The sequence below is a fragment of the Homo sapiens genome, chromosome Y, assembly GCF_000001405.40.
Source record: "Homo sapiens chromosome Y, GRCh38.p14 Primary Assembly".
Classification (NCBI taxonomy): Eukaryota; Metazoa; Chordata; class Mammalia; order Primates; family Hominidae; genus Homo; species Homo sapiens.
Genome location: NC_000024.10, coordinates 6901932 through 6923900, shown reverse-complemented (window position 1 = coordinate 6923900; position 21969 = coordinate 6901932). Strand labels below are relative to the sequence as shown.

General features: G+C 47.1%; 2 protein-coding genes across 4 annotated transcripts in view; one reads left to right on the top strand and one right to left on the bottom strand.

Annotated features, from left to right (window-relative positions):
* The window catches only part of TBL1Y (transducin beta like 1 Y-linked), a 180987-nt gene extending 167783 nt beyond the window's left edge, over window positions 1–13204 (bottom strand). For all 3 annotated transcript variants that reach the window (NM_033284.2, NM_134259.2, NM_134258.2), the window contains exons 1-2: window positions 12919–13204; window positions 11729–11813 (exon numbers count right to left, since the gene is read on the bottom strand). The gene's annotated coding sequence lies outside the window, so the exon portion shown is untranslated. The remainder of the gene's footprint in view (window positions 1–11728; window positions 11814–12918) is intronic.
* Window positions 12149–21969, top strand: part of AMELY (amelogenin Y-linked) — a 45835-nt gene continuing 36014 nt past the window's right edge. The window contains exon 1 of the mRNA NM_001143.2: window positions 12149–12228. The gene's annotated coding sequence lies outside the window, so the exon portion shown is untranslated. The remainder of the gene's footprint in view (window positions 12229–21969) is intronic.

The window sequence follows — 21969 nt, the reverse complement described above, 5'->3', positions numbered from 1 at the left end:
CAATGAACTGTGATTGCCCCACTGCACTTCAGCCTGAGTAACAGGGCCTGTCTCTAAAAATAGATAAGTAAATCGTTTGTTATAGGCCCAGCGTGGTGGCTTACGCCTGTAATCCCAGCACTTTGGAAGGCTGAGGGGGGTGGATCACTAGGTCAGGAGATCACGACCATCCAGGCTAACACGGTGAAACCCCGTCTCCACTAAAAATACAGATTAGCCAGGCATGGTGGCAGGTGCCTGTAGTCCCAGCTACTCAGGAGGCTGAGGCAGGAGAATGGCATGAACCTGGGAGGCAGAGCTTATAGTAAGTGAAGATCCAAGAACGCACTACTGCAGTCCAGCCTGGGCGACAGAGCAAGACTCTGTCTCAAAAAAATAAATAAAAAATAAAAGTAAATAAATGATTTATTACTGATGTAAGAAATAAAGTGCCACCACATATATACGTAAACTTCTTTTTCTCCAAATTCCTATCTATCAGGCAATTCAGCCAAGCAAAAATGCTTGCAGCATTGAATAATACTGCCCATTCACAGCCGGGCGCGGTGGCTCACACCTGTAATCCCAGCACTTTGAGAGGCCAAGGCAGGCAGATCACGTGAGGTCAGAAGTTTGAGACCAACCTGGCTAGCATGATGAAACCCCATCTCTACTAGAAACACAAAAATTAGCCAGGCATGGTGGCACACACCTGTAATCTCAGCTACTCAGGAGGCTGGGACAGAAGAATTGCTTGAACCCAGGCGGTGGAGGCTGCAGTGAGCTGAGATCGCACTGAGGGGTGGCTACATGCTAGCAGCCCTCGCTTGCTCTCGGTGCCTCCTCTGCCTAGGCGTCCACTCTGGCCACGCTCAAGGAGCCCTTCAGCCCCCTGCTGCACTGTGGGGGCCCCTCTCTGGAACTAGCGGAGGCCGGAGCCGGCTACCTCTGCTCCTGGGGAGATGTGGAGGTAAAAGCGTGGGCGGGAGCCGGGGCTGCGCGCGGTCTCGGCCTGCGCGCGTTCTGGGTGGGCTGTGGCCTCCGCGGCCCCGCACTTGGCGCAGCTGGCCGGCACCTGCCGGGCTTCGTCGGGGGAGTAGGCTCCCTCTGGGCTGCCGGAGTGCCCGGGCTGGGTGCCACAGAGTCCTGCAGCACGTGCCAGTGAGAGGTGAACCTGACTGGGCTTCTGGGATGGGTGGGGACTTGGAGAACTTTTCTTTCTAGCTAAAGGATTGTGTAAACACACCAATCAGCACTCTGTGTCTAACTAGAGGTTTGTAAACGCACCAAGCACTCTGTGTCTACCTGAAGGTTTGTAAACGCACCAATCAGCGCTCTGTGTCTAGCTAATCTAGTGGGGACTTGGAGAATTTTTGTGTCTAGCTAAAGGACTGTAAACGCACCAAACAGCACTCTGTCTACCTAAAGGTTTGTAAATAAATGCATCAATCAGCACTCTGGGTCTGACTAATCTAGTGGGGACTTGGAGAACTTTTGTGTCTAGCTAAAGGATTGTAAACCCACCAATCAGCACCTTGTCAAAACAGACCAATTGGCTTTCTGCAAAACGGACCAATCAGTAGGATGTGGGTGGGGCCAGATAGCCAGCAGCAGCAACCTGCTCAGGTCCCCTTCGGTGCTATGGAACCTTTGTTCTTTTGCTCTTTGCAGTAGATCTTGCTGCTACTCACTCTTTGGGTCCACACCGCCCTTATGAGCTGTAACACTCACCATGAAGGTCTGCAGCTTCACTCCTGAGGCCAGCAAGACCAAGAACCCACCAGAAGGAACAACTCCACACGTGCTGCCTTTAAGAGCTGTTTAACACCATGAAGGTCTGCAGTTTCACTCCTGAAGTCAGCGAGACCACAAACCCACCAGAAGGGAGAAACTCCGGACACATCTGAACATCTGAAGAAACAAACTCCGGACACACCATCGTTAAGAACTGTAACAGTCACCGTGAGGGTGCACGGCTTCATCCTTGATGTCAATGAAACCAAGAAGCCACCAATTCCGGACACAGCACCATTGCCCTCCAGGTGACAGAGTGAGACTCCATCTCAAAAAAAGAATACTGCACATTCACACAGACCCTAACAACAAGCAGGTCCATAATTGGAATGAGTCAAGCTACCCAAAAGGGACATGTATCCTTCTTCTTGCTCCAACATCATGGTGCTAGGGATACAGTTCCCAACAAACATGAAGGAAGGTTTTGGCATCTTGGAGAGCTGACTAGGAAAGTTACCAAGACAGGGAGAGCCTAACCTTCTCCCTCCTCTGGTATTCTAGCCTAAGCAGGTGTTCCTGAAAGGAAAGAGCCCTGTGCAGGCTGTCTGGGGTCATAATCTCAGTTCCAGGCTCAAGGGAAACATGCAGACAAAACTCTCATATTTTCTTTAAAGCATTCCAGTTACATCCACCAAGATAGGAAAAATGACATGAATTTAGGGTAGACACCCAGGTCAAGAATAAACACTGTTGGGAGCTAAAAGCCTGAGGATTGTGACGAACTCAGCATTCCAGTGGAGGCTATATGATCAAACAGCAAACTGTTTATCATGAATGCAGGATGTGTGCAAACTCACATCTGCACCTGCTGCCAGAAGGTTTGCTGAGGGCAGTCACTCCCTGGTAGCAGGCTCATTGAAGTTATCTACTTGAACATCTGGAGACTACTGTTCAGAGAATGCAGTCATGCACACCTGCATGACCACAGTCAAGCAGCTGACCACAACCACCCCCTTCTCCCTATCTCCTTTACTCAATAAATATGAAGGGCTCTAGGAAGTTCAGTAGAAGCAAGGAGCCCCTGACCCCTTCTTCCAAATATACTCTTTTTTGTCTTTATTCCCACGTCCCCCTTTGTTATGGTCCAGCAAGGTCCACAGCACAGCACTGTGAGTTTTGCCATAAGCATTGTTTGTGCTGCTTTCACAGGGTCTCCTGGGGCTGGAGAACTGCCGCACTGCCAGGAATCACTCAGTGGCACCCAGCGGCACAAAGAGCCTTCTGACTTGCTGTGGCTTCCTAAACTAAAATGTGTAACTTACCAATGTTTACCAAAATACTGCTTATTTTAATCATGGGAAAACTGCTCATCTAGGCACAGGACATAAACAACTGTAAGTTTATCCCAATGTTTATTTAACATAAAATGATCATCCTTAACCGGTCTGAAAAAAACATGGCCTCCCAGACCTTGAAATCCAAATTTTCACACCTGGGAGGGAGGGGAAGGCTTGAGGCCACTCTTTCAGCCCTTTAACTCTACATAGGAGGACATGCACATATTCTGTGACTTCACACAACCACTTCAGGCAGAATAAAAGACCCCGAAATACCAGAATAAGGATTATTCTAGAAAACGTCACTTCATATGAGATCACAGAAAGCGACATTATGACCCAAAGTAAAACACAGGTTAACAGCTTCTCAGAAGCTCAGAGGTAGCAATCCATTTTATTTCTACAATAAATAAATGCAAAAACAACTTGATATTTTTAGTCTGTTTTATATTCATATGATTAACCCACTGGGAAAACAGCAAACATTCTTCATGAATATACGTCCTGTTTTTAAAACTAAAGTCATGACTGTAATTTTCTGTTACACTTTGCATGTGAGGTGTCTTTTGGTAGGACTATGCAAAAAGGTGAGGATAACACTCTCTAAAGAGGACATCAAAAAAGACATCCCATCTCAACCAATGAGGCAGCGAGAACTGGCACAGAAAAAAAAGGAAAGCTTTTAGCAGCCTCAACAACACACCTGATTTTTTTTCACTGTGGTTTCTTACACACATTAAGAAGCTAAGCTGTTCTTTTCCTTTCTTTTGGTGTTGCCTGAAGTGTGCAAAAGCATAAAGTTCATGTGTCATCAGAGAGAGGAGTCAAGGATGGTACTGGAAGACTGGAGGGATTCACCTAGGGCATTCTACCATGTGTTCAAGAAAAGAGGATTACTTTGGGCCATGTTAGAAATAAAGCTCAAAGTCATAAATGAAATAAACACGCCAACAATTGGTTTCTCAGCAAGGCAAAGTTTACCTCTGCAGAAGGGTGCTGCTCATTAGTTTGGTCACCATGAAAGCACTCTGAACAAAGGAAAGCAGTCACTTTATCTTTAATTCATTGGGCTCCTACTGCCATGTCCAGTATCTGTTGGCTAGAGTTGGACTGCACAATCTAAGCTGAACCCAATTGGCTAATTTGAGAAGTGCAGGGATGTGGTTACAATAGTGAGAAAACAGTTTTAGTGGAGACAGAGAGTGTTTCGACCGGAGGGATGATTTACAGAGTGAGGAGCAGATGTGGAATGTGGACTCTATAGATAAAGACCAAGAGGAAGGTTGTTTCCCAGGGCAAAGGAACACAGAGAGTAAGGGAGTCTGGCCTTGAAAGCAGGGAACAAAGGACAAGGAAAGTTCAACAAGTTAACCCTTTGAAGAAGAATGTCTTACTGTATTTAACAGGCCATGATGTTGCCTTCTGTGGCACCTACAGGCAGGTGCCCCATGTTTGGGGCTGGGGGCAGAGTGACTGCCGAGAAACATGCTGTGGAGGATAGCACCATGGACATCTCTGGGCTTAGGGGAATGTTCTCTCTCCTGATTATGACATCCATCTATACACACATCAAAACACATAAAGCTACACAACCAAAGAGCCAATTTTACTATATGGTAATTTAAAAAATAAAAGTATACAGTTATAGTCCTAAAATTTAAGAGGGAAAGCCGGGCGTGGTGGCTCATGCCTGTGATCCCAGCACTTTGGGAAGCCGAGGCAAGTGGATCATGAGATCAGCAGTTTGAGACCAGCCTGACCAACACGGTGAAACCCCGTCTCTTCTAAAAATACAAAAATTAGCCGGGCATGGTGGTGCCCGCCTGTAGTCCCATCTACTCAGGAAGCTGAGGCAGGAGAATTGATTGAATCCAGAAGGTAAAGGTTGCAGTCAGCCGAGATCATGATTGCGCAACTGCAATCCAGCCTGAGACCCACAAGAGACAGAGCGAGACTCTGTCTCAAAAAAAAAAAAAAAAATATTTAAGGGAGAAAAGGTAACAGGAAAAAAAAGCAAGCAAGTTACTAGACATCCTAACTGATAAAGATACCTTTCCAGACCCAAATCCAAACTCAGAAAATAGGAAAATATAAGCATATTGGGCTCCAAGCATTATAATTCTATCTGCTTTAGTGGAGTATAGTTGCTCACAACTGTAATCTTAGCACTTTGGGAGGTCAAGGAAAGAGGATGGATCACTTGAGCCCAGGACTTTGAGACCACCCTGGCAACATAGACGACTCCTTCTCTACTAAAAATTAAAAAACAAAAATTAAAAAAACGCAAATATGGTAGTACAGACCTCTAGTGCCAGCTACTCGGGAGGCTGAGGTGGGGGACCTGCTTAAGCCCAGGAGGTGAAGGCTGCACTGAGCTGAGATCGCACCACTGCACTCCAGCCTGTGCAACAGTGAGACCGTCTCAAGAACAAATAGATAAGTAAAAATTCAAAATACATGAAAATATAATTCTAGCTCATTTAATATAACAAGCCTGGGAAATCTTTCTCCCCACACCCCCCACCCCACCCACCTTCTGTCTCAATGAGAATACTAATGCTACAGAAACTCTCCGATGTGCTCAAAGATGCACACAGTGCATGGCACAGTGGCTACAAATGAGGTTTCCCTCATAGCTGTACCCGGCCCCCATGTCCAGCCGAAACACAGAGTCCCTGAAAACAGGCATGACTCGGGGCAGCTCTGGGGCTCACTTGGACATGGGGACCAGAGGCTGGCTCAGGATGAAACATGCCACACAGCAGGACCTCACTTTAGAAGCCTTTTTCCTAAAGACACTTCAAAGAGGGCCTCCACTAAGTATAATACAGGTCCGTATCCAGCTGCCCCACCCTGTCTCATTTCAATAGCTGTAAGAAGAGAATGAGATGAAGGTGGCACACTAACTCCCTTCTGAGATTTCTTAGTGACCCTACACCACTCACAATTCACTGAGCACAGAGAGAAACCTTGTGCAACTTGTTCATAAGCAACTCCAAAGTATCAAGGAGCTGACCCTCCTTGTAAGTAAGACCTAGTACCTCTGTGATGATATTAATAAAGCCAAAAGGAAGGGGCTGAGAAACATGCACTAAGGGGGTACTTACATGTAGGGCTCTAGGAGACCTGTGCTGAAGCAGAGCTCGGACAGCTAGCAATGCCCCCGCTCCACTGCCTCCCCATTGTCCACTGTGACACCCGCTGACCTCATTTGTGATCATTCTGCAAAATCCACTTCCTACCTCCTCCTTCGCTTTCTCCTGTGAGCATCTGAAACTCTTACTGTATTGATCAGCAGCTGTGGTGATTTATTTACTAATACGTCACCCTAAAACTTGTGTGTCTTGACAACTACAGAAATTGATGTTTATTTTTCCTTGGCATCCACCTCCCCATCTCCCCCACAGGCCTTGACCAAAACGGGACTGAACAGTTCAGTGGTCCCCAATCTTTTTAGCATGAAGGAACACTTTCATGGAATACACTTTTCCATGGGGTGGGGTGGAGAATGGTTTCAGGATGAAACTGTTCCACCTCAGATCATCAGGAATTAGTTAGGCTCTCATAAGAAGCACAAAACCTAAATCCCTTGCATGTGCAGTTCACAACATGGTTCTCACTCCTATCAGAATGTAATGCCACTGTTGATCTGACAGGAGGTAGAACTCAAATGGCAATGCTCACTAGCCTGCTGTTCACCTCCTGGAGGTTCCTAACAGGACAACAGACCTGTTCCGGCCTGAGGCCCAAGGCTGGGGACTCTTGGTATAGCTGACTATACAATTGAGGTTCTCCTTGGCACTGGTGGCACTTGAGGCCAAACCATTCTCTGTGGTGGAGCCATCCTGTGCACACAGGGCACTGGGCAGCATCCCAGGGCTCCACCCACCAGATGCCAGGAGCTCCCTCTACCTTTTCCAGCTGTGGGAGCCCAAAAATGTCTCTAGACATTAGCAAATGCCCCCTTCAAAAGTGACGGAAAAAAGTGTCCCAAATAAGAGCCACTGGTTGGCTGCAACATTCCAGAACTCAGTGTTGAAAACATCGTTCCAATAAGCAAGCATATTGTCTACCTTCATTCCTTTCTTCTTCTTCATTTATTTACTTATTCATTTGTTTATATATTTTTGAGACAGCATTTCGCTCTCGTTGCCCAGGCTAGAGTGCAATGGCATAATCTCAGGTCACTGCAACCTCCACCTCCGCAGTTCAAGTGACTGATTCTACCTCAAGCTAAGTAGCTGGGATTATGGGCATGTGTCACCAAGCCCAGCTAATGTTCATATTTTTAGTAGAGGTGGGATTTTTCACCATGTTGGCCAGGCTGGTCTCAAACTCCTGACTTCAGGTGATCTACCCGACTCAGCCTCCCACATTGCTGGGATTAGAGGCTTTTTTTTTTTTTTTTTTTTTTTCGGAGACAGGGTCTCACTGTCATCAGGCTCGAGTGCAGTGTTACGATCTCGGCTCACTGCAACCTCCGCCTCTCTTTCTCCATTGGAAATCTGAAACTCCTCTTCTCAACCCAGGATCTCTTTGCCCTTTAGACACGTGGAGTTCTTCAGCCCTTTCCCACATCCAGCTTTTCTTTTGGTTCTGGTGGGTTTGTCAGGCTGGCCAGTGTGGTCCATTTGGTCAAGCCCCACAGAAAGGGTGGCCAGGAGTGTAGCAGGCAAGACCCATGGGGAAAAACTCGAGTGCCATCTCTGACTCAAGAGGTCAGTTACTTCCTTCACACGAAAAATAGTTATGGGGGAAAAAAGTTTACCTTTCCAATTAGAAAAAAAGTTTACAATATGCCTTTAGTGGTACTTCCCGGCAGGAACTGATTTTTCAATGTATGTGGTGGTGAAGGATTAACAACTTTTCAGGATGTAGCATACTAGCTTTTTTTGTTTTTCCCAAGTGGAGAAAAAGGCAAATGGAAGGCATCAGAAAAGCAGCACAATGATGGTCTCCTCACTGAGCAGAGAAGCTGTGATGATGAGCCAGGCCCGGAGGCCCACGGGCACTGCTTCGGAGCAAAGCACCAGAATCCGGACTCCCAGCAGAAAACTGGAAAGGGGCCAGGCCCAGGTTCTAGTGGAAGTGTCCTCCTATCCAGCAGGAGTGGGGCAGAGAATCTGAATTCCTGACACTCAGGACCTGCTGGAGATGGCCTCTCTCGGCTGGGAACATTTTTCTGCCTCTGGAGAATATCAGCCACCCAAGTTTCCAAGTGCTTTCAACCAAAGGCTGACAGGAGATGACACCAGAGTCCTGACAAGACACCAAAGAAAGAACAAATGGCAGGGGAGTTAATCTGGGAATTCACCTCTCTAAAGACACACAGTTCGGTTTTTCCCCTATCCTCACTGACAAATAAAATTTCTCATTCATTGCCATAAAAAATACAAAGACCCATACAAATGACATATCTACCAAGTAAGAAAAATAACATACTGACTCAAGACTGCTGTGCAGAAAACAGCTAACAGTCGTGATTTAAGGTTTTTAAAACACTTGGACTACTGGGAAGTCTCACCTTGTTGGAAGGATTCTTTATTAGTCTTTTAATACAGAAGACTTTGATCTCAAGAGACTTAACCTCGATACTTAGGCCTTAAACTTAAAGAACGGGAAGGGAAAGCCCAAGGTATCCAGAGTATGTGAGGGTCTGAAAATAACAGATATGGCACTACAGTACCTGGGCACAGGACTGTTACTGACAGAAGCACCTTTTATTTTACTTAAGCCTTCCACCTACACCATCCTGAGGGATATTTACCACAATCTGCTTAGGTTGGCAACATGGGGACTGGCAGTGTCATTTTTTAAGATGGGGAAACTGGGACACACAGCAGCTAAATGTGTTGCCCAAAATTCAACACTCAGTGAGGGACTCAAGCTTGGAGTTCTGTTGTTTAAATCAAAATTGGACCAAACCACCTCAATCTAAAACTAGAGGTTGTCAACTTCAGGTTAATAACCCATTTGCTGAAATCATTTTCCTGGCCAAATCACTGGCTGAAATGAGTCATTTTTTTAGAAAAATGAGCCCACCTGTGAGTTATTTTCAATTTCACTGGCTTCGCACCTTCCTCCACAAAAAGCACAACTCTCTTGACTGCTGTTTTTTGGTTGTAGTTGTTTGGGGTTTTGTTTGTTTGTTTGTTTTGAGACAGAGTCTTACTTTGTTCCCCAAGCTGGAGTGCAGTGGTGCGATCTCGGCTCACTGCAACCTCTCCACCTCCTGGGTTCAAGCAATTCTCACGCCTCGGTCTTCTGTGTAGCTGGAATCACAGACATGCACCACCACACTCAGCTAATGTTTTTTTTTTTTAATACAGAACATGTTTTCACCATGTTGCCCAGGCTGGTCTTGAACTTCTGACCTCAAGTGATCCACCCACCTCAGCCTCCCAAAGTGCTAGGATTACAGGCATGAACCACCACACCCAGGCATGACTGCTGCATTTGGTTTTGTTTTATTTTGTTTTTAAGATAGATTATTCCTCTGTTACTCAGGATGGAGCGCAGATGTGTGCTCACCACAGCCCAGAACTCCTCAGCTCAAGAAATCCTCCAACCTCAGCCTCCCGAGCAACTGGAATTATAGACTCGCACTACGATGCCCAGTTAATTTTTTAAATGTTTTTAGTAGAGATGAGGTCTCAAACTCCTGGCCTCAAGCCTTCTTCCCCGCTTGGCGTCCCAAAGTGCTAACATTACAGGCATGAACCACCATACCTGGCCAACAGTTTTCTTTATTAAGGTTTCACTGCAATAACTACAAAGTAACATACTCCAATAGAACTTTCTGCAAGTTTCCTGCTATCCAATATGACCGCGCATGACCACCTAACCTCATGCAGCCCCACAGTACATGAAATAGGGCTAGTACAACTGATAAAACAGAACTGTTACTTTCAATTAAGTCTAAATAGCCATATGTGGCAACTGGCTACTAAATGCAATGATAAAGCTATGGAAGAAACCATCTGATCCCCTGTGGTAGACTTTCTGTGACTCTGTTGATACATCTACATATACAAACACATACACACACAAACATACATACATGTATTTCTATAAGCATATTCAATGTAGAGTCTCCTGTGTGTGTACAATTTATAGATCTTTTGTTTCCCAGTGGGAAGATCCACACTAGATAGAAAAGCAAAGTAACACCAAGCTTAAGAGCTGGACTTTGGGGAATTCTAGTTCTGTTTTTTAAATTTACACATGAAAAATGATGCTTAAAAAGGCTGCAGGAGTTCAAAGTTACACAATTGCTCAAGGGCAAAGTAAACATGGTGGGCCCCTTCACAACTTAAGGACTAATGGGGACAAAGGTAGTTTTCTCTCAAACATACCTAGGTCATTGGAATCTGTCATTGTGGAGATTAACTCAGGGGCTCTAATCACCACTTTGTCAGCTCCCAAAAGCAGTACAGTCTCTTAGAAAGCTCTGTGAGAGAGACTCCTGGTGCCATCTCACAGATGAGAAAACCGAGCCTCCACTAGATAAAACAGACTCAAAACCAACTAGACTCCAAAGCCCCACACCATAATATATCTCCATGCAGTCCATTAAAATGCCCAAACTTTCCAGAGCAGTTAGATGATTTGTGTATCAACATGTGAAATGTAAAGGGAGACAGTCATAATTACTGGACTGATCAGCCTTGGGTAAAAGAAGACTAAGAACACCTAAAAACTCTTCCCACTCAGGATCCTAGTAGTACGCTGCAGTTGGTGACCAGGGCATCCTCTATCCTACCCCCAATCTAAAGTCCCCAAAACAGGGCTTTGCTTTGTTCGTGGTGTGCCCTGGGCCCAGCAGAATACCTGGCACCTAGCAGTAGATCAATGTATTTTTTAATGAACTGTTACCTTAAAAGGCAAAAAAATCTTCTAACTAAAATCCAAGATTATGTTGTACAGAACCAATGGTACTCCAGAATTGTAATCATTCACTTCTAAGAGTGTCTACAGTAATTTTTGCACACAGTGTTTTTTTTTTTTTTTTTTTTTTTTTTGAGACAGAGTCTTGCTTTGTCTCCCAGGCTGCAGTGCAATAGTGCGAAAGCAGCTCACTGCAACCTCCACCTCCCAGGTTCAAGCGATTCTCCTGCCTCAGCCTCCCAAGTAGCTGGGATTACAGGCACCTGGCATCATCCCTGCTAACTTTTGTATTTTCAGTAAAGACGCGGTTTCAGCATGTTGGCCATGCTGGTCTTGAACTCCTGACTGCAGGTGATCCACTCGCCTTGGCCTGCCAAAGTTCTGGGATTACAGGTGTGAGCCACTACGCCCGGCCCAGTTTCCTCTTTAAAACTGCTAGCAGAGGACTCCTCGGAGCCCAGTAAAGGGGCCAAATGCCTGGGAGTGAGGGAGCCAGGGTGGCAGAACTACACCATAAATTTCCATTTTTGCCCTACAGGTGTGTGTTCTACTAGGCCTGCAATCGCCTTAAGGTCCCCTTTTAATAAATGGATCCAGTGATGAACAACTTTTGTTGTGTCAGTTACCCAGCTCGGCGGCTTTCCACAAAAATCTGTAGCATATGTGAGACATGATTACTCTTTAAAATAAATGCATCATACTCAACATTTTCCTGTATTTTATTTTTCCTAATTGCACCTTTTCTAGGAAGGACTTCTAAATTTTTCATAAAATTGTCAAGAGCCACTTACCACACTGAGGCCACTGTCTGGGGAGTCCTGCCCCTCGCCTTCCAGGCTGAACCAGGGATTCTGGCGTGCCAGCAGAGGAAAACACCTAGAAGGCAGGTCAAGCCACTCATGACCATGCAAAACAGTTGCAAATAAAACAGAGGGTGGGATTTTGTTTCTTACTAGGTTTTGCTCCAGAACACCACCGATTCGAAAATAATCACATCGGTCCCTAACTTTGTGGAATTTTCGACGCACTTAGCTTGCTACAGCAACATGAGGTCGGTGCAATGAGTGAGCCCCTGCCTCCGGCATGACCACGCACAGTCGATGTACGTGAAGTCCAGGCCCTAGCCCAGCGCCGGCGGGACTCCAACGACCCACAGTTGTCACATATCCGGCGATCACTGACTCCCGAAAGCGGACGGCCCCGCCCCCTCCGTGAGAGAAGGTACCACTGGGAAGCAAGGCCGGACCCAGGATCTGCCAGACCCCGACCCGCCAGAACCTAGGATCAACAGGTCTGCGCTTTACCCTGGCGCCGCTCTGCAGACCCCAAACAGACCGGGGGCGCGGGGGGGGTTGCCCCCAGACTTGACTGCGCGCTGGGGCCAGAGAGATGGGCGGGGGAGGGGAGCTTCCGAATTCCTTGACGGTTTTGCGACTCAGAAACTGAGCAGACGCCGCGGGCCCGAGCCGCCTAGCCAGCCGGTCGCCCCGCTCTGCGCGACTGCGCTTCCACCCAGGTCGGGGCAGGCCGGCCCGAGTCCCGTGGATGAAAGGGACTCCCCTCCACCGGGGCGTGAAAAATCCCGCCACCTGCCCCTTCCGCCCACCAGCAGTGGCGCTGGGCCCAGCAGATCCCAAGAGCGGCAAACAAAGGGGCACCAGGAAGAAACCGAGTACTTTCCTAAACTTAGCAGCCGCCTCCCCCTTCCCCAAAGGAGCGTCTCCCGCCAACCTCCGTACACTCCCCACACGGCGCGCACGCACTTTGGGGGAGCGGAAACCTCCCGGTATTGTTGAGTCCAGGGAGCGCTCCGCACCCTAGTCCAAGTGCTGCGGTAACAGCTGGGGCCCTGCGTCTCCAGGAGTTCGTGGCGAGCGGAGCGTCTGGACGGCCGGAGCCGCCGGCAGGACCGCAGGGAGTCAGCGCCGTACGCAAAAGTTTGCGGACCCCGCGCCCGGCCCACCAAACACCTAGCACTCACCTCGTCGCTAGCAGCGCAACTGTGGCGGCGGCGCGTACCTGGCCGTGTTCTGAGCCTCTCTCAGGAGGGCAGCCTGTGAGGCCCGGCCGTGCGGCGGCCGAAAAGAGCCCGGCGCACCGGAGCAGCCGCGTGCCGCCCCTGGGCCGCCTCTGCCCCGCCGCCGCGGAGTCCCGGAAAGGTCGCGGGTACTGGAAAGTTTAGGTAACCAATGGCGACTAGAGAGCACTGCGGTGGCGGCAGCAGCGGAGCTGGGGTGTTGGCGGCTCCTCACTCCCGAGCGCGAATTGGGGGCACTGGAGCGGGCGCGGCGGCTGCAGCGACAGAGGGCGGGACTGCACGGCGGCGCAAGGGATTGGCACTGGCGGTGACCACCACTGGGAGCGGCCGCTAGCATGCAAACGCGGACCGGGAGGACTGAGAGCGAGAGGGCACCCACTCGCCGCGGCCCGCCCCTCCCCAACAGCCAGCTGAGGGAAACCCGCCTCCCACCAGCCCCAGCTCCAGCGCCCCAGTGGTTTAGATCCGGAACCAGCCCTTCCCCTAAGGAGGGTGGGGAACTGCGAACCGGCCCCTCCCCTATGCCGAGGGTGGGCGAGGGGAACCTGGGCCACTGCTAGACTGTTGCCTTCCCCCAACCGAAAAAGGAAGCCGCCCTCTGCCCCCACGGAACTCCCGTCACCTGTCCGAGGGTGTATCTCCGTCAAAATCGTCTTAGAAGACACCCCAGTTGTCATTTCCCATCTCGAAAAAGGGGACAGGCAGAGGCTCCCCCCTTTGCAAAACACCTCCCAGAAAAAGAGCCAGAAATTCTTAGGGACAAACTGGCGTAAAAGCCAGGAGCTGGGGTGTAGGAACTGAAGAGGAGGCTGGGAGACTCACCTCCACCGCCACTCCCAGGCTTCAGACCTCGGGCGTTTGTAAGGTGCTTTGCGTTGCCAGTGCTTACACGGACGGGCCCTGGTGTACTCAAGTCCCCAGCGCTCCTTCCTCCCTTCGCGCGCGGCCTTAATTCAGTTAAACAGATTTCCACTCCCCCTCCCCAGCACCTCTGAGGCCTGCCGTGTTGAATATTTTTAAATAAGTTTGCCCCTCCTTTTAGTATATGATGAGCTTTGTGCTAAGATCCCAGTACACTCAGCAATTTATAACCTCACTTGCTCCTCCTCCCGCGTTAGACGCTCAGGTTGTGGGGGGACGGGAACCCGAGATGAATTTTTAAGGGGTCGATCCTCCAACAAAAAAGCTCAGGTTGTGGGGGGACGGGAACCCGAGATGAATTTTTAAGGGGTCGATCCTCCAACAAAAAAGCAGACCTGAAAATTACCCTGCGAAATATTGCTGTAAAAACATCAATGATATGAAATCACGGTTGCTACACCATCATTAGAGCACATCGATAAAAAAATACACATACACAGTCTCCATAATTGTGAATCAGCAGAACAGATTGTGTCTTATTATGTCTTATCAGCTGCCATTCAAAGGTCTCCAGACAGACTTGGGACCTTCCACTGAGCCTGCCCTTCATTGCTCCCGGACTCCCTGGGCTTGTGTAAACTGATGCTGAGGTATTGCATGCAATCGAAAAACGAAGGGTGCAAGAGAAAACCCAAGCGAGCTCATGATGCAACCCTACCCTGGCTACACGTGCTTCCCTTCCCCCACCGCCTTCTGGTGGAAGCGCTGTATTTTTTCCGCCTGTAGGGTCACTTTGCGGTTAATTGATTCTTCTATAGCCTTGCTCGTTCAGTTTTGGAAAGTAAAGAGTAGAAGTCTTTACAGCTCTGGACTTAACAAGGACGCAGCCCTCGGCTACCGCACCCTCTCAAGTAGCTGCACAGCCAAACCGTCCTCCTAGCCTGCCACCCCTGCTTAGCGCTTGGAAATTCCAAACTGAACTTGGTTAAAAGACCTCTTTGTATGTTCTAATTACTTGGCAGATGTCAATCTTTTAAAGTAGGAGAAAGTGATGGAAATCCTCACTCTAAAACGGGAGCACAGGGTAGCCAAGTTTTGCAGCTGATCTTCTGTAGCTAACTGCAAAACAGCTCAGAATCCATCCTGCCTGTATCCCACCGGGTTTACTGCCCTTATAGTCAATAGCTTTTATCATAGGCTTATAGAACACCAAAGGACACTGTAACACTAAGGCAGGAAGACAGAACTCCTCTATTTATCATGCAATCACCAAAATTCCTCTTTCTGAAATGTTAGGTGGGCGGTAGATAAGTGATAGACTGTGTTATTTAATGCTTCGAATTTTTCAAATGTGCAGTCCTACCAGGTGGGAGAAAACAAGAAAATAAAGTTGGAAGGAGCTAGTGCATTCTGACAAAGCGAGCCACAATAATTTCCACAGATACCCACTGCACTAGAGATGTGTGTTCCCGTTATTTTCTGTGTGTGTGTGTGTGTGTTCCAGTTATTTTCACTTACTAATTGGAGGCAGGGGAAAAACAAATCTGTTTGCAACAAATGTCACCAACAGTACCTGGAAATTTTTTTTTTTTTTTTTTTTTTTTTTTTGGAGACTGACTTTCCCTTTGTCTCCCAGGCAGCAGTGCAGTGGCACTATCTCGGCTCACTACAACCTCCGTCTCCCGGATTCAAGTGATTCTCCTGCCTCAGCCTCCTGGGTAGCTGGTGTTACAGGCATGCAGCACCACACCTGGCTAATTTTTGTGTTTTTAGTGGAGAACGGGTTTCACCATGTTGGCCAGGCTAGTCTCAAACTACTGACCTCAAGTGACCTGCCCTCCTTGGCCTCCTAAAGTGGTGGAATTACAGGCATGAGCAATCATGCAGGCTGAGTATCCAGAATTCAAATTAAAAGCCAGTAGGGGCTGGGTGCAGTGGCTCATGCCTGTAATTCCAGCACTTTGGGAGGCCCAGGTGGGTGGATCACCTGAGGTCAGGAGTTTGAAACCAGCCTAATCAATACGGTGAAACCCCGTCTCCACTTAAAATACAAAATTAGTTGGGCGTGGTGACTTGCACCTGTAATCCCAGCTGCTCAGGAGGCTGAGACAGGAGGATAGCTTGATCCTGGGAGGTGGAGATTGCAGTGAGAGATCAGGCCACCAGCCTGGGCTACAGAACAAGACAACATCTTAAAAAAAAAAAGGCAGTAGGAATCCACAAAAAGTCTGGAATGCAGTGGTGTGGTCTCAGCTCACTACAGCCTCCTACCTCAGTCTGCCAGGTAGCTGAGTCTACAGGCGAGCACCAGCATGCCTAAGTGTTTTGCATTTTTTGTAGAGTTGAGATCTCACCATGTTACCCCAGACTGTGTCAAACTGTCTGCCTCACATTCCCAAATTGCTGTGATTAGAGGCTTGAGCCATAGCACCCCACCTCAACTAATCTTTGAGCAAGGAGCAAAGGCAGTTCATTCTTTTTAACTCACGGTGCTGGAACAACAGGACATCATATGCAAAAAAAAAAAACAAAAAACAAAACTCTAGACATAGACTTTATACCTTTCACAAAAAATAAAATAGACAATAGCCCTAAATGTAAAAGACAAAACTATAAAAACTCCCAGAAGATAACATAGGAGAAAACCTAGACAACCTTGGGTTCGGCAATTACTTTTTTTTTTTTGGAGACAGAGTCTCTCACTTTGTTGCCCAGTCTGGAGTGCAGTGGTGCCATCTTGGCTAACTGCAGCTTCTGCCGATTCAAGCAATTCTGCCTTAGTCTCCCAAGTAGCTGGGATTACAGGCACCTGCCACCACAGCCAGCTAATTATTTTTGTTTGTTTGTTTTGTTTTCTATTTTTAGTAGAAATGGGGTTTCAACATGTTGGCCGTGCTGGTTTTGAACTCCTGACCCTAACTGATCCGCCCACCTCAGCCTCCCAAACTGGTAGTGTTACAGATGTGAGGCACCACATGCAGCCTGTGATGACTTATTAGATAGAGTAGCAAAAGCATGATGCATCAAAGAAAAAATAAGCGATGTGAGCCACCCACTGCTTTGAGAGCATGAGGCTCAGGAGTTCAAGATGAGCCAACATGGTGAAACCCCATCTCTACTAAAAACACAAAAATTAAATTAGCAGGCGTGGTGGTGCATGCCTGTAATCGCAGCTACTGGGGAGGCTGAGGCATTAAAATTGCTTAAACCCTGGAGGCGGAGGTTGCACTGAGCCAATATGGTGCCACTGCACTCCAGCCTAAGTGACAGAGCAAGACTCCATCTCGGACAAAAAAAAAAAAGAAACGATGTTAGACATCAGTAGAACTTTAGAAGTGTACAAAAGACATTTAATACAGTGAAAAAAACACATCACAGAGTGCAAGCAAATATTTGCAAAATCCATATCAGATGAAGGCTTGTACTTAAAATGTGTAGGTCAGCATGGTGTCTCACTCCATAATCCCAGCGCTTTGGGAAGATGCTTAGGTAGGACTGCTTGAGCCCAGGAGTTTGAGGCTGCAGAGGGCTGTGATAAACACCACTGCCCGCCTGCCTAGGCAATAGTTAGGTCCTAATTTTTTAACTATCTGTGTGTGTGTATGTATTATGTATATAAGTATGTGTATATACATATGTATGTGTATGTATGTGCATATATAATTGTATGTATATGTATGTGTATATATGTATGTGTGTGCATCTCTGTGTATATATACATGTATGTATACATACATATATATGGTATGTACATAGTGTGTATATATATTATTCTACATATATGCACATTGTATTAGTCCATTTTCACACTGCTGATAAAGACATACCCAAGACTGGGCAATTTACAAAAGAAAGAGGTTTAATTTCTCTTACAGTTCCATGAGGCTGGGGAAGCCTAATAGTCACAGTGGAAGATAAGGAGAAGCAACTCATCTCTTACATGAATGGCAGTAGGCAAAGAGAGAGAGCTTGTATAGGGAAACTCCCATTTTTGAAAACCATCAGATCTTGTGAAACTCATTCACTCTCCTTAGAACAGCACAGGAAAGACCTGCCCCTATAATTAAGTCACCTCCCAATAGATTCCTTCCACAACACATGGGAATTGTGGGAGTTCCAATTCAAGATGACATTTGGGTGCCAAACCATATCGCATATAAACATGAATATAGGCCGGGCGCGGTGGCTCACACCTGTAATCCCAGCACTTTGGGAGGCCGAGACGGGCAGATCACGAGGTCAGGAGATCAAGACCATTCTGACTAACGCGGTGAAACCCCGTCTCTGCTAAAAATACAAAAAATTAACCCAGCATGTTGGCAGGCGCCTGTAGTCCCAGCTACACGGGAGGCTGAGGCAGGAGAATGGCATGAACCTGGGAGGCGGAGCTTGTAGTGAGCTGAGATCACACCACTGCACTCCAGCTGGGGCAACAGAGCAAGACTCAGTCTCAAAAAAGAAAGAAGGAAAGAAAGAAAGGAAGACAGGAAGAAAGAAGGAAAGAGGAAGAAAGAAAGAAGGAAGGAAGGAAGGAAGGAAGGAAAATAGAAAAGAAGGAAGGAAGGAAAGAAAGAAAGAGAAAGAAAGAAAGAAAGAAAGAAAGAGAAAGAAAGAAAGAAAAAGAAAGAGAAAGAAAGGGAGAAAGAATAGCAAATGCATTGGACTTATTGGTGAGATATTTGTGTGCCAGAGGCTGGGAAAGAAATCTTACTAAAATTCAGGGACTTTCTACCTCCGTAAGATTCCTAGGGGTCCAGTGGTGTGAGACTTGTCAAGATATTCTTTTTACGGTGAAGGATAAGTTGCTGTATTTGGCCCCTCCTACAACCAAGAAAGAGGTACAATGAGTAGTGGACCTATTGGATTTTGGAGGCAACACATTCCTCATTTGGGTGTGTTACTCCAGCCCATTAATCAAGTGACCTAAAAGGCTGCCAGTTTTGAATGGGGTCCACAAATGGAGAAGGCTCTGCAACAGGTCCAGGCTGCTGTGCAAGCTGTGCTGCCATTTGGGTCATATGACCCAGCAGATCCAATGGTGATTAAGGTTTCAGTGGCAGATAGAGATGCTGTTTGGAGGCTTTGCAGGCTTCCATAGGTGAATCACAGCAGAGGCCTCTAGGATTTTGGAGCAAGACCCTGCCATCTTCTGTGGGTAACTACTGTCCTTTTGAGCGATAGCTCTTGGCTTATTACTGGGCTTTGGGGGAAACTGAACATTCAACTATGGGTCATCAAGTCACCATGCAACCTGAACTGCCTATCATGAACTGGGTGCTTTCTGAGCCATCTAGCCATAAAGTGGGTCATGGACAGCAGCATTCCATCATCAAATGGAGGTGGTATATATGTGATTGGGCTGTAGTAGGTCGTGAGAGCACAAGTAAGTTACATGAGGAAGTAGCTTAAACACCCAAGGTCTCCACCCCTGCCACCCTGTCTTCTCTCCCCCGTCCTGCAATGATATCCTTATGGGGCATTCCCTAAGATCAGTTGACAGAGGAAAAGAAGAGTATGGCCTGGTTTACAGAAGATTCTGCACGATATACAGGCAACACCCAGAAGTGGACAGCTGCAGCACTACAGCCCCTTTCTAGGATATCCCTAAAGGATAGTGGCAAAGGAAAGTCTTCCCAGTGGGCAGAACTTTGAGCAGTGCACCTGGTTGTGCACTCTGCATTAAAGGAGAAATGGCCAGATGTGAGGTTCTATACTGATTCATGAGCTGTAGCCAATGGTTTGGCTGGATGGTCAGAGACTTGGAAGAAGCATCATTGGGAAATGGGTGAAAAACAAATTTGGGGAAGAAGTATGTGGATGGAACTTTCTGAGTGGTCAAAAACTGTGAAGATATTTGTATCCTATGTGAGTGCCCACCAATGTGTAACCTCAACAGAGGAGGATTTCAATAATCAATGGGATGGAATGACCTGTTCTGTGGACACCACTCATCCTCTTTCCCTAACCACCTCTGTCATCGCCAAGTGGGCCCATGAACAAAGTGACCATGGTGGCAGGTATGGAGGTTATGCAGGGGCTCAGCAACATGGACTTCCACTTACCAAGGCTGACCTGGCTATGACCACTGCTGAGTGCCCAATTTGCCAGCAGCAGAGACCATCACTGAGCCCTTAATATGGAACCATTCCTTTCTCAAGGTGATCAGCCAACTACTGGTAGGAGTTGGATTATATTGGACCACTTCCGTCATGAAAAGAGCAGAGATTTGTCCTCACTGGAATAGACACCTACTCCAGATATGGGTTTGCCCATCCTGCATGCAATGCTTCTGCCAAGACTACCATCTGTGGACTCACGGAATGCCTTATCCACTGTCATGGTATTCCACACAGTATTGCCTCTGACTCACTTTATGGCTAAAGAAGTGTGGCAGTGAGCTCATGCTCACAGAATTCATTGGTCTTACCATGTTCCCCATCATCCTGAAGCAGCTGGATTGATAGAACAGTGGAATGGCCTTTTGAAGCCACAATTACAATGCCAACTAGGTGACAATACTTTGCAGGCCTGGGGCAAAGTTCTCCAGAAGGCCATGTATGCTCTGAATCAGCATCAAATATATGGTACTGTTTCTCCCATAGCCAGGATTCATGGGTCCAGGAATCAAGGGATGAAAGTGGAGGTGGCACCACTCATCATCACCCCTGGTGACCCACTACCAAAATGTTTGCTTCCTATTCCCACAATATTATGTTCTGCTGGCCTAGAGGTTTTAGTTCCAGAGGGCGGAATGCTGCCACCAGTAGACACAACAATGATTCCACTAAACTGGAAGTTAAGATTACCACCTGGACACTTTGGGCTCCTCCTCCCTTTAAGTCAATAGGCTAAAAAGGGAGTTACAGTGGTGGCTGGGGTTGACTGACCCAGATTATCAAGATGAAATCAGTCTACTATTTCATGACAGAGGTAAGGAAGGGTATGTATGGAATACTGGAGATCCACCTGAGGTCAGGAGTTTAAGATCAGCCTGGCTAACATGGCAAAACTCTGTCTCCACTAAAAATACAAAAGTTATCTGGGCACGCAGCCAGACACAGTGGCTCATGCCTGTAATCCTAGCACTTTAGGAGGCTAAGGCAGGCGGATCACCTGAGAACAGGAGTTCAAGACCAGCCTGACCAACATGGTGAAACCCCATCTCTACTAAAAATACAAAAATTGGCCAGGCATGGAGGCAGACACTTGTAATCCCAGCTGTTCAGGAGGCTGAGGCAGGAGAATCACTTGAACCCAGGAGGCAGAGGTTGCAGTGAGCCAAGATCACATCATTTGCACTCCAGCCTGGGGGACAAGAGCAAGAATTCATCTCAAAAAAAAAAAAAATTAGCTGGGCACAGTGGCATGAGACTGTAATCCCAGGTTCTAGGAAAGTTGAGGAAGGAGAATCGCTTGTACCCGGGAGGCGGAGGTTGAAATGAGCCAAGATCAGGCCACTGCACTCCAGCCTGGGCAACAGATTGAGACTCTGTTTAAAAAAAAAAAGGAATACAGGAGATCCATTAATCTCTTCATATAACCATGCCCTATGATTAAGGTCAATGGAAAACTACAACAGCCCAATCCAGGCAGGACTGCAGATGACCCAGACCCTTCAGGAATGAAGGTTTGGGTCACTCCACCAGGAAAAAACCCACAACCTGCTGAAGTGCTTGCTGAAGGCAAAGGAAATACAGAATGGGAAGTAGAAGGTAGTCATCAATACCAGCTACAACCATGTGACCAGCTGCAGAAACAACCACAGTAATTGTCATCAGCATTTCCTCCTTCTTTTGTTAAAAACATGTTGGTGCATGTATACACCTGTACTAAGAAAATATCTTCATTTTATTTTCTTTCTCCTTTATCATGTGACATAAGATATATTGACTTCATATGACCATTTAAGTATATTAACCTTATGTAATAGCATTTGGGTTGGGGATTGGTGCATTTCCAGTCGTACGAAGGATAATTGTATTATGTTAGCCATAATTATGACCTAACATAATCTCAGGAGATGTGTATGGGCTCACGTTGACAAGGTGTGGACTTGTGATGGTTAATACTGAGTGTCAACTTGACTGGATTGAAGGATACAAATTATTGATCCTGGGTGTGTCTTTGAGGATG